This window comes from Homo sapiens, chromosome 1 (genome assembly GCF_000001405.40).
Source record: "Homo sapiens chromosome 1, GRCh38.p14 Primary Assembly".
Lineage (NCBI taxonomy): Eukaryota > Metazoa > Chordata > Mammalia > Primates > Hominidae > Homo > Homo sapiens.
Genome location: NC_000001.11, coordinates 114,660,183 through 114,672,619, shown reverse-complemented (window position 1 = coordinate 114,672,619; position 12,437 = coordinate 114,660,183). Strand labels below are relative to the sequence as shown.

Here is a 12,437-nt window from a genome sequence, read left to right as displayed (position 1 = left end):
TATTGAGGGAGAATTTATCTTACAAAAGGATTCTTAGCTTTAAGGATGTAATTGACAATAAGATTATAGTGAGCTAAACTGGTACATTTTAAATGATTTTGCTTACCAAAGTAAAATGTACATATAACTTTTAAGAAGCATGCCTATTACTTAAGGTCAGGTGAAATTCCAAATGGGCAGATGATACTTCCACACATACAACTGTGTTGGCATCTAGTGGCTGGGCTGACATTTCATTCAACTTATTCAATAAACAATTATTGATCAAATAGCTAAATTATCAGGTACTATTCTAAACACCAAAGGTATACAGAATAAGATTTCATTCCTATCCTCTAGTTGTCCTCAGCATGAAGTTATAGTGTGGCTACAAGTAAAAAATAGAATTTTGTGAAATGTCTTCAAAAGTAATGAACTTTTTTCTTTTTTTTGAGACAGGGTCTTGCTCTGTCACCCAGGCTGGAGTGCAGTGCAGTGGTGTAATCACAGTTCACCGCGGCCTCGGCCTCCCAGGCTCAGGTGATCCTCTTACCTCAGACTTCCGAGTAGCCAGGACTACAGGCACATGCCACCACACCCAGCTACTTTTTTGAACCTTTTGTAGAGACGCGGTTTCACCATGTCACCCCAGCTGGTCTCAAACTCCTATGCTCAAGCGATCCATGTGCCTTGGCCTCCCAAAGTACTGGGATTACAGGCGTGAGCCACTGTGCCCAGCCTGAACTTTCAAATGGAAAAAAAATTGAAAGCAAATTTCTGCACGTTTCTATATTCTACACATGCAGCCATAAGCATAGGTGTAACCCTGATGGCATGTTTGTACTAGCTCTGGTGTAAGAATCTCTTCCTGATTTCTGAAGTTGAAGTTTTGTTTGTTGAGTATTTGTGAACCCTTTAAAGAACCAGATTTTATTTTACCTTGGCCTCCTCATCATCAAAATAGTACAAATTGCTACATTAAACACTGTATTCTCAGACTTCAAAGGGCATTAACTACCATTATGTATATCTCCATCTTACCCATGAGAGGGCAGTAGAATACATACATGTGAATTCATTTATTAATCTATAAATTTGGTTTCATACGTGATACTTGGAATTCAACCTGCCTTATTTTGCCAAATAATCTTCCTGAATGCAGGGGTCAAAAAATACATTTCTGGGCTGGGTGCAGTGGCTCATGTCTGTAATCCCAGCACTTTGGGAGGCTGAGGCAGGAGGACTGCTTGAGCTCGGGAGTTGGAGACCAGCCTGGGCAACATAGCGAGACCCTGTCTCTACAAAAAAATAAAAATAAAAATATTAGCCGGGGGTGGTGGTGCATGCTTATAATACTAGCTGCTTGGGAGGCCGAGGTGGGACGATTCTTTGAGCCTAGGAAGTTGAGACTTCAAGTGAGCTATGATTGGGCCACCGCACTCCAGTGTGAGTGACACAAAGAGACCCTGTCTCAATAAATAAATAGATAGACACATTATATAAGAATTTTTTTTTTTTTGGTGGGGGAAGCCCATAATGATCAGTGTGCAAAATTTACTACAAACAATATCCACATTTATTTCCTCATTGGGACATGATTTTTTTTAAGTATGTCATTACTTTTTTTTCCCCCATCATAGAATGTAATTTCTGTTTTACTGTCTACAGGTGATAGTTTCACAACGGTTTGGGATATGCTACCTTTATTGTTTGGGTTAAGTTTGCTTGTGACAGTCATCCGTGATACGTAACTAAACACCTCTCTTTCTGGTAGTCTTCTATTTTGGTACCTCTGTGTGAACAAATGTAGGAAGAGTTTGGTCACCAGACCCAAGAGGCTCTGGCTGGGTGGGGTGGGGTGGGGTGGGGCGGGGCGAGGCGGGGTGGGGTGGTTAGCGAGTGCCTGGGAAACAGGCTCAACTGATCCTTGTCCCGCAGCCTCGGTGAAACTGGGTTACAGCTTGCAGTAGGCACAACACCACGCACATACCTAAGCAAGAGCGTGTTGCAGGCGGAGCGCTTAGGCATGTGTGTCTCAACAGGGCGTGGGGGCTGACCTCACGCACTGGGAGTATCAAGGCACCCCCGTTCTGAGATTCCAAGCCTGAGGTGCCGCGAGAGTTATTTGCTTCTCTTGACGTTTCAAGTTGGCACCGTAGTGCAATTGTTTGCTCACTGAGGTCAGCCTAGGAAACAGTGCTTGGATTCCCTGATTAAGCCAGGCTTTATCTTGTTGAGTAGTTGTGAAGAGTAAACCTTCACATGAAGCATAGGGCCGTCTCCGTGGGGCCGATGCGACGGCAGGCGAAGGCGATGGAGCTCTGGCTCGAGGGCTTGGCCGGACGACGGTGACACTGGTCGCCCGCCTGCTGGAACTGCAGTGACCGAGGTCCTGGCAAGGTTCTGGCCATACAGCGGACTTGAGGCGTGGTGGTTCCCCTCACCGCCGGCCGGGGCGGTGTCGGAGGCGGGCATAGCGTGAGGGGTGGGAATAGGAGCCAATAAGAACTGAGCCTTGCCAGGGAGGGCGGGGCTAGGGGGTGGGGCTGCAGCCGGGACGGGGCCTTCGGCAGGGCCTGCGGGGGCGGGACGGAGCGGACCCGAGTGATACCCGGGAGACTAGCTTGGCCACAGGAGACAACGTTGAGGTACAGACAGGTAAGAGTCGGGGTGATTCGGCGCGGGGTTTTAAGCCGCAGGGGCTTCGGACTCTCGGGGCTGTCGGCATCACCCTTCTGGGCGTCGGGTGCGGGGCTGTGGCGCCGCGGCGTAGTCCTCGGACGGTGCGAGCCGAGCTGGCGGAGGTGGTGTCTCCGCGCCCCGCTGTCTCGGCACCTCCTCCGTCCGGAGGAGCAACCGGTTGTTGGGCCCAGCTTTGGGACGTCCTCTCGTGGCCGCACGGGTTGTGGCGGAGCCTGGCTGAAGACCTCCTCGCTACCTCAGGGGCTTGGGGACCCCTAGGCTGGGCGCCGCTCTCTGCTGGGGAAGAGGGAGGGAGCGCCCGGCAGCCTGGGGAAACGCGGGCTTTCTCCAAAATTAGCCAGTGAGCTTGAACTTCGACATGCTGGGACGATGCACTTCCAAACAATATTTTGCTTTTTTTGGTGTTTTGATTCTTAACAGCATCTAATACGCACAATACCGAAAGTTGTCAAGTAGAATTTTAATTTAAAAGTCTGACAGTGGAACACCTAAGAGCTTTTGAGTAACTAGAGCTGTATAGCAGCTGATGATTAGATTATGAGTCAAAAGGCTCAAGTCTAGGGCCAGAACCCGCGGAACCAGATGTGATACCTCGGCCAAATTAACTTCCTGGGCCTCTCTTTCCGTAACTGTGAAACTGGCAAGTTCATGCCTATGGGTATTCTCAGGGTCAAATCAGATGAGTGACAGTATTCTACAAATGTCAGATATTTGAACGTGCGTGTGGAGCGTGTATATTCTGTGAAGCAACTACTACTTGCCTGGTACATAGTAGGCACTTTACAAACGTTTACCCTAAAGCTAGTGATTCTTCTGCAGTGTTTTAGATAAAGTGATAGATCCTTGCTTACTGTGTAAATAAGTTGTTTAAACTTTTCCCACAAAGTGACCCCCATTGTTTGAGTGTGTCCTATTTTTAAATGATTGATGAAATTTTCTAGAATAGCACAGTGGTGTTATCTATACACTGTTGCTGAATCATTTACCGCGAAGTCTGTAGCAATCAAATAATCTACTTCTTTGTCTTAGCTAAATAGTTGTAGTTTAAGATACCTGCTAAAGTAAGCTGGGAATATTGTTCCAAATCAAGACTTTAATTTGTTTTTGTGAATTGACGGGCTGCTTATAGGAAGATTTAAATCTTCCAAAATATTGTTAATATATAGCCATATTTTTTCATACAGCCTTTATTATAGACGTTTTTGTTCTTTACTATGGATATGTGTGCGAGGGATTTTAGCGGGGAGATGGGAAATAAAAAAGAAAATGGCAGTTTTGTAACCTGTAGGCTTTTGCTGGGGATACTTGTAGGCCTGTTCTGAGTTTGCCAGGCAGAAACCAGGAAATGTAGTAATTATGTGTCTTGGTCTTTCATTAGTTGGGGTGTGTGTGTGTGTGTGTGTGTGTGTGTGTGTGTTGAATGTGGCAGTACGTTTTTTAAATGCAGCAATAAAGGAAGAATATTTATTTTTCTTAATGACAATAAGCAGTTTTCTAAAGCTGGAAATTATATTACTTTTAAATGGTCTGTAGTGAGTCTTAAGTTATAGGCAAGAATTTTAGACCACTGGATACCAAGATCAAATTAAATGAAGTAGTAGAGGGAAAGTTACTAGTGAATGTAATTTTTGTGTGTGTTGCTTTAGAAGTTTTACTTAAACATGTTTCAGCAATTCAGTGGAGGATGGGTCTTTTGAAGCTACTTTAAAACATGAGTTTTAAACGTACTCCATGTATAAATTTTTCTGTGATTTACAATTTCTTGATCTTGGAGGTCTGAAACCTTACATTCACATTGTTTTTTGAGGGCCTACTACACAATAGGCACAAGATTATATTTATGTAAGAGCAGTATGTAATTCCTGTCATCTAGGAGATTCCATTCTACCAAGTGGGCTAAAATAAGTACTGAAAAAACAAAAGCTGTTTTTAAAGCGGATGGTAACAATAACAACATCAGCTATCATTCATTGGTACCTAGTCTGTGCCAGGCAGTATTCTAAATTCTTTACATGTATTAGCTTACTTAATCCTCACAACAGCACCATGAGGGATGTTATTATGATTATCTCATTAAGAGGCATAGAGAGGTTGAGTAACTTGCCCATGATTAGACAACCTAGATAGCAAAAGTAGGATTCAAATCAGTCATTCTCCAAGGACCTGATTGTAACCTTTGCGCTATACTGAGTTTCAAATTCTGTGAGTGAGATACAAATGACATCTAATAGGTATTTTAAAAAGAGGTCTATAAAAAACTATTTCAAAAAGAAGGAAAGAAAGAGGAAAAAATAAACTGGTATTGCAATACCAGTTTTATTGCAATTAAAACGATGTAATTATAGTTTATCTGTGGGAACCCTTTTTTTGTTATTGTTGCCAGTGAATGACATGGGGATGATTCTAAGCTCTCAGTCCCTCAGTAACAACAGTTATGGCATTATCTTAACAATATGAGGTGCTTATTTTTCATTAAAAAGCACCTCATAACTTCTTTCATTAAGAAGTTAAAAATATCTGTTCTCAGACTGTAAATTAAGTATTAGATTCAAGAAGAGAAAATGCTTCCCTGTCTTTAAGAAGCTTATAACCCAACATGTAAATAAGGCTCTACAATTTCAGCATGATAAGAGCTGTAAAGAAGTATAGATTTAGGTACGTTTGAAGAGTTGCAAGAAAAAGAAAGAAGTATAGATAGAATTTAACCACTGATGAGGAAAAATCATTCTGCGTGTGGTAGGGAGGACGATTAGAGAGAAGATATTAAATTTGGCTTTGAAGGATGAATAGGAGTTTGCTGAAATTGGGTCAGGAAACAGGAGATATGAATGAAAACCAGGGATAAGTGTGCAAGTATATGGTATGTTTGAGGAATGTGTTGTAGTCCATTGTACTGAAGGCCAGGGTGTGTAGAAATGGGTGGTTTGGCTAAAGGAGATGGTGCCTGGAAATAAGATGAAAAAATAAAATTGCAAAGCTTCCTTGCTGATTGCATTAGGATCACTAAAATTGCTAGGTAATGTGGTATTTCACTTCCCTTCATTTGGAACAATGAAATGAGTAATTAGTTCAGTTTGGCAGAATGTTTCACTAAAAAATATGGTGTTAAAGGTACTTTTAATACTTTGAAGTACAAGATATAAGATAACATTACAGACTTAGGTAAGTAAAAAGTTAAGATTTAGGGCCAGGCGTGGTGGCTCATGCCTGTAATCCCAGCACTCTGGGAGGCCAAGGCAGGTGGATCAAGAGGTCAGGAGATCGGGAGCATCCTGGTCAACATGGCGAAACCCCATCTCTACTAAAATACAAAAATTATACGGGTGTGGTGGCGTGTGCCTGTAATCCCAGCTACTTGGGAGGCTGAGGCAGGAGAATCATTTGAACCAGGGAGTCAGAGGTTGCGGTGAGCTGAGGTCGTGCACCTGCACTCCAGCCTGGCAACAGAGTGAGACTGTCTTTAAAAAAAAAAGTTATGATTCAGAAAAAGAGGGAAAAAAGTCTTCTGATGCTAGGTCTTGAAGAGCCAGAGTATCGTGCTAAGGACTTTGGACTTGATTCTAAAGACAATGGAGAGCCAGTGAAGGATTTTAGATATAGGTGTTTAGGAAAGATAAGCTGAAAATGGTTTGGAGGCTGAATTGGATGAAGAGAGACAAAAGGTAGGGAGATAAGTTAGGAGGCTGTTGCTATTGAAATAGTCCAGATAAGGGAGGATAGGGGCCTGGAGTAGGAAAATAGTAATAGGGATGGAGAGGAGAGGATAGATAGTGAAGGTGTAGAATTTGACAGGGCTTTAAAATCAATTGGCTCAAAAGAGGAACAGAAAAGTAAATGACTTAGTTTTTTAGCTTGGAAAACTGTTTGGATGAAGGGTCTTGTTTTATTTTTTAATATTGGAGGAAGATAATTGTTTCCATTTTGAATTCATGTTGAGTTTGAATTGTCTTTGGAGCATTCAAGTGGAGATGTCGAGAGAGGATCTAGAGTCCAGAAGCCAGGCTAAAATTGGTGATTCAGATTTCAGAGGTAGCCAGTAAGTGTTAATTGAAGCCGTAAGAGCAGATGAAATTGCTCAAGGGAGTATGTAGAATTAGAAGAGAAGAGGGCCAAGAATAAATGATTTGCTTTATGTAAGTAGAAGGAATTATTTATCTATGCTAATTTTGTCCAACAAATTATTATTATAAAGCAATGAAATGGATTTTAATTGAAAGTTGAACAACTTTTACATCCAAATGAGTCCTGTTCTTTTAAAATTTCATTTGGAAGTCACTCATTTATTCCAGAAGTACAGATGCTCCTCAATTTTCGATAGGGTTATGTCTGAATAAACCCATCATAAGTTGAAAATATTGTTAGTCAACATGTGATAAACTTACGAAGGGTTTATCCGAATGTAACCCCATCATAAGTTAAGGAGGGTACTGAGCACATACTGCTTTGGCACCATCATAAAGTTGAAAAATTGTTAATTTAAACCATCATTAAGTCAGGGACTGTCTGTATTGCCCAAAGTATTATTGGAGCTTCTCTTTGTAAAAAGCTTTATAGCAAATTCACAGCTACACAAGAACGTAGATCTTCTGGCTTTATTATGGAATTGTTTTTCTGTCTCTTTATTTGCATGGCACATATAACTTATTTACTTTTTTTTTTTTTTTTTCAAGAGACAGGGTCTTGCTCTGCTACCCTGGCTGGAATACAGTGATGCAATCATAGCTCACTGCAGCCTGGACCTCTTGGGCTCAAGGGATCCTCCTGCTTCAGTCTCCTGAGAAACTAGGACTACAGGCATGCACCACCACCCCCTGCTAATTTTTATTTTTTATTTTATTTTTCTTGAGACAGAGTCTCTCTCTGTTGCCCAGGCTGGAGTGCAGTAGTGTGATCTCAGCTCACTGCAACCTCTGCCTCCCAGGTCCAAGTGATTCTCCTGTCTCAGCCTCCCAAGTAGCTGGGACTACAGGCGCACACCACCATGCCTGGGTAATTTTTTGTATTTTTGGTAGAGATGGGGTTTCACCATATTGATCAGGCTGGTCTCGAACTCCTGACCTCAGGTGATCCACCCGCCTTGGCCTCCCAAAGTGCTGGGATTACAGGTGTGAGCCACCACACCCGGCCTGACCCCCTGCTAATTAAAAAACAATTTTTTTTGCCCAGGCACAGTGGCTCACACCTGTAATCCTAGCACTTTGGGAGGCCAAGGCGGTGGGTCACTTCAGTCAGGAGTTTGAGACCCACCTGGCCAACATGGTGAAACCCCATCTCTACTAAAAACACAGAAATTAGCTGGATGTGGTGGCGCGTGTCTGTAGTCCCAGCTCCTTGGGAGACTGAGGCAGGAGAATCACTTGAACCCAGGAGGTGGAGGTTGCAGTGAGCTGAGATTGTGCCATTGTACTCCAGCCTGAGAGACAAGAGCGAAACTCTCCATCTCAAAAAAATTTAAATAAATAAATAAATACATAAATTTTTTTCTTTTGTAGAGATGGGGTTTCACTGTGTTGCCCATTCTGATCTTAAACTTCTGGGCCTAAGCACTCCTTCTGCCTCAGCCTATCCAAGTGTTAGGATTACAGGCATGAGCCACTGTGCCCAGCTTCCGTTCACAATCAATCAAAGCTTCGAAAGCATATTCCTATCCCATCACTGGATCTTTAGTTCTTGGAAGTCATAGACAAAGCTTAAAAAACAACAAAAGACTGTGTCCCCATGCCTATAATCAGCACGTTGGGAGGCCAAGATGGGAAGATCACTTGAGCCCAGGAGTTCTAGACCAGCCTGAGCAACATAAGGAGACCTCGTCTCTACAAAAAATTTTAAAAAATTAGCTGGCATGGTGGCACATGCCTGTGGTCCCAGCCGCTTGGGAGGCTGAGGTGGGAGAATTGCTAGAACCCGGGAGGCAGAGATTGCAGTTAGCCAAGATCGTGCCATTGCACTCCAGCTTGGGTGACAAGACAAAAAAAAAAAAAAAAAAGAATAGCAGTATGGTCTTCTAAGGCAGGGGTTAGCAAATATTCTGTAAAGGGCTAGATAGCAAATATTAATATTTTGTACTTTGTGTGCCATACGGTCTCTGTCATAACTACCCAATTCTGCCAAAAAGCAGCCATAGACAACGCTTCAATGAATAAGCATGGACTGTGTTCCAATAAAACTTTATTTATGGACACTGAAATTTGAATTTCATATAATTTTCACATCACAAAATGTTATACTTATTTGATCTTTCCACCCAACCATTAAAAAATGTAAAAACCACTCTTAACTCAGAGGCCTTGCAAAAACAGGCAGTGGGCCAAATTTGGCCCACAGGTAGGCCATAGTCTGCCAACCTTAACGGATCTTTGAAATATTTGAATTCGTAAGCTTGGTTTAGAAAAAAAAAATCATGGTTCTTCGAAATCATACCTCCTGTTTTTAAATTCTAGTACATTTCTTAAAATAATTAAAACATTTTCATTCATCCCCCATTTCTCATTTAAATGGAAAATACTCCCTTTACTGGTTTGGAACTTTAGATACAGAGAAATAGATTAACTTGTACAGAGTCAGAATAAAAAAGTATGTTTGAAAAATGTTTTTTGATATTCAGTGTTCTTTACTGAATCAATAAAACATTGATCTTTTCGCTTCAGTGAAAGTGGGGACATTGAAACCTGGGTGAAATAAAAGATAAATTTGAAGGGGTATTCTGCACTGGTTCCCAGAGGGTTGGACAGGATGGAATTTTATTCTCTTTTTCTTCTGCCCTGAATGAATAAGTTTTATCCTAAAGAAAAGAAAACATGATAATGTCTTCACTTTATAAGCAGTATAGCAAATTATAAGACTGAAGGATTAAGTAGATGATGATAAGAGAAAAAAATTTAAAGGACTGACTTTTTCACATCTATCTATTCCAGGTATTTACCCATTTTTTTCCTTCCTCCCTTTCCTTTTCCCTCTTCCTTCTTCCTTTTCCTTTTCTTTTCTTGGTCTTTCTCTGTCACCCAGGCTGGAGTGCAGTGGCACAATCATAGTTCACTGCAGCCTCCAACCCCTGGGCTCACACGATCCCTCCACCTCAGCCTCCCAGTTAGCTCGCATTACAGGTGCACGCCACCAAGACTGGCTAATTTTTTAAAAAACTTTTTGTAGAGATGGGGTCTCAATACGTTGTCTAGGTTGGGCTTGAACTCCCGACCTCGGGATCCTCCCATCTCAGCCTCCCAAAGCGCTGGGGGTACGAAGCCATTATGCCTGGCCCCTATTTTTGAGGAATAAATTCAAGATTTTTTTTTTTTTCTTATGAATCTTAGACTTCTGGTTAGTGGCGTGAAAACAGAGTTTTTAGCATTTAGTTCTGGCAATATTAATCCATTTATATTATTTGAAGGTTGTGCTGTACTTTTTAAAGTTAAATGTCTAACTTTCGTAGTTTTCATAGCAGTGATAAATATTTACAACAAAGGATATGGAGAGAAATTATTATTTTTTTTCCTTCAAGTTTGAATTCATAGAAATGACATATTTGCGGATTTTTTGTTTGGATGTTAAAATTCAGGGACAGATTGGTGGGGGAGAGAGAGAGTTATTTTTGCTGCTACTTAAAAGGGATTTGCATTTTTCTCTGTCTTTTTTTCTGTTGGAGTAAAAAACAAAATCTCCCAGCTGTGTGGGATGTGTTTGAATTGGTTACTTAGCAGTGTAAAGCATAATTTTGTATTTAAATATTTATCTGTACTCTTTGATATTCTGATTAAATAAGGATCTATTAAGGCTATAATAATAGAGCCTTCTGTGAGGAAATGACATAGGCTGCTCCACAACAGTATTTACTGAAAATTTCCTTTTCCCTGGGCCCTATTTAAACTATAAGGGGTAATTGGAACAAAAGGGGAAAATTATGTGAATTAGAGTGATGGTCAATTTAATCATGAGTGTAATGTGATAGCTATCAATGTATAGTTTTATTGACATAAATCAGGGTTGAGCAAAGAGTGGGAGAATTTTGTCTGCTGTTGTTAAAAATGGTGAGTCGTTGAACCAAATTTTATTTTTGAACTTTGCATTCGTCAAGTGTGATATTTTCAAGAGTCTGGTGATAATTGTATTTTTAAATCAAATTGGATCAATTTGCCTTTCAAATTTGTTGTTTCATTATTAGAAGAAAAAAACGAAGTAAAAAATACAGAGGTATGTGCAATGACTGGATCTGGAAGAACAAAAATATTGAGGGAAATGGTCACCTGAGAAAAACTATTAAGACTTTCAATGAAGATTATTTAAAATATGGCTTTGTCAAATGGGCAAAATCTGAGTAAAATGACAGACCCATGTCTTCATATAATGTTGCAAATGAAAATTAAAAACCTTTAAAGTTAAAAAGATTCTTGGAAACATAGCATACTGGACTTTTAAATAAGCCCTTTCAAATATTTTCAAAGAAAGAAAAAGAGATAAAGTTATCTCAGTTTCCTATTTATTCAAGAATCATTCCTGAGAAAGATTATTGTCTCATTTAGTTGTGTATCAGTGGCATAAGGGAAAAATGGCTACATATCTCTTGAAAAAAGTATTCATCTATAATTCATGGAAGTTGTGCTCATGATTTTTGATGCTAAATCAGCTGGAAATTAAAAATTATACTTCTTAGTGATGACATAGCTCTATTCTTTACCATTATTGGACATTTCAGCAGTGCTTGCAAGATGGGTAGAGTCTGGTGCAGATTTTGCAATCCAAATCGATGGGGTCGCTGATATTGTAAGTTGTACTGTGCTTTTAGGTAGTGAAGATAATAAGGAGGATTTTCTTTTCTTTTTTTTTTTTTTTTTTTTGAGACGGAGTCTCGCTCTGTCGCCCAGGTGCACAGTGGCACAATACCGGCTCACTGCAACCTCCGCCTCCCGGGTTCAAGCGATTCTCCTGCCTCAACCTCCTGAGTAACTGGGATTACAGGTGCGAGCCACCATGCCCGGCTGATTTTTGTATTTTTAGTAGAGACAGGGTTTCACCATGTTGGTCAGGCTGGTCTCAAACTCCTGACCTTGTGATCTGCCTGCCTCGGCCTCCCAAAGTGCAGGGATTACAGGCATGAGACACCACGCCCGGCAGGATTTTCTTGTTGTTTAAATTTAACCACAGCTGTATGGGTATATTTACAGAATTTTAAAAAATAAATTGTTGATCCTCAGAAATTAAACTGGGAAAAAACTATTAAATAATTATGAGCAATTGAATAGCAAATGTGGTTAGAAAATATAAAGCAGTTATTTTAAGCATTGTTTGAAGCTGCTACTAACAGTGTTCCCTCCCCCTGTCCAGCCTCCCGTGCAAGTCTCACAGTGTGTTTTAATGAGTATCTCCTCAAAGCACCTTCCAACACTCAAGGGGAGGGAGGGAATTAGAGACAGGCAAACTTACAGCCAGTAGTCAAAACAATACAGCTGAAAGTATAGACATCCTCCTGCTTTCTTCTGAATGTCCAGGGCAGCAGGAAAGCTTGGAGCTTTCCCTCCAGCAAAAACAATAGGCTGGGTGTGGGTGAACATACTGTCCAGCAAGTCACTGCTGGGCTCCGTTTCTGTCCTGTTTGTTCTAAGGGCTAAGAATGGTGTTTGAAACTGCTGTTTTATATATTGCAAAGCTTTGGTATGCACAGAAAACTTTCTGAATCTCATGAATATATTGAAAGTTGTTAATTATATTAAAGGAAGCTTGCTGAGTAACCAACATTTTAAAATATTCAGAGTTAACTGTAC

At 40.8% G+C, this 12,437-nt stretch overlaps 1 protein-coding gene and 1 long non-coding RNA gene across 3 annotated transcripts in view, besides 2 other annotated features; one reads left to right on the top strand and one right to left on the bottom strand.

Annotated features, from left to right (window-relative positions):
- LOC124904354 (uncharacterized) lies at window positions 1,666-2,209 on the bottom strand. The gene is made up of 2 exons (XR_007066465.1): window positions 1,970-2,209; window positions 1,666-1,771 (listed from the first exon to the last, which is right to left on the bottom strand). It is a non-coding gene; the product is annotated as an uncharacterized LOC124904354 (long non-coding RNA).
- Window positions 2,198-2,357: an enhancer, noted in NCBI's record as "active region_1547". NCBI's record gives its function as "activates an Ori minimal core promoter by ATAC-STARR-seq in GM12878 lymphoblastoid cells {active_cell/tissue: GM12878}" and the evidence as "EXISTENCE:reporter gene assay evidence [ECO:0000049][PMID:35858748]".
- Window positions 2,478-2,567: a silencer, noted in NCBI's record as "silent region_1221". NCBI's record gives its function as "represses an Ori minimal core promoter by ATAC-STARR-seq in GM12878 lymphoblastoid cells {active_cell/tissue: GM12878}" and the evidence as "EXISTENCE:reporter gene assay evidence [ECO:0000049][PMID:35858748]".
- Window positions 2,571-12,437, top strand: part of DENND2C (DENN domain containing 2C) — an 87,200-nt gene continuing 77,333 nt past the window's right edge. For both annotated transcript variants that reach the window (NM_198459.4, NM_001256404.2), the window contains exon 1: window positions 2,571-2,637. The gene's annotated coding sequence lies outside the window, so the exon portion shown is untranslated. The remainder of the gene's footprint in view (window positions 2,638-12,437) is intronic.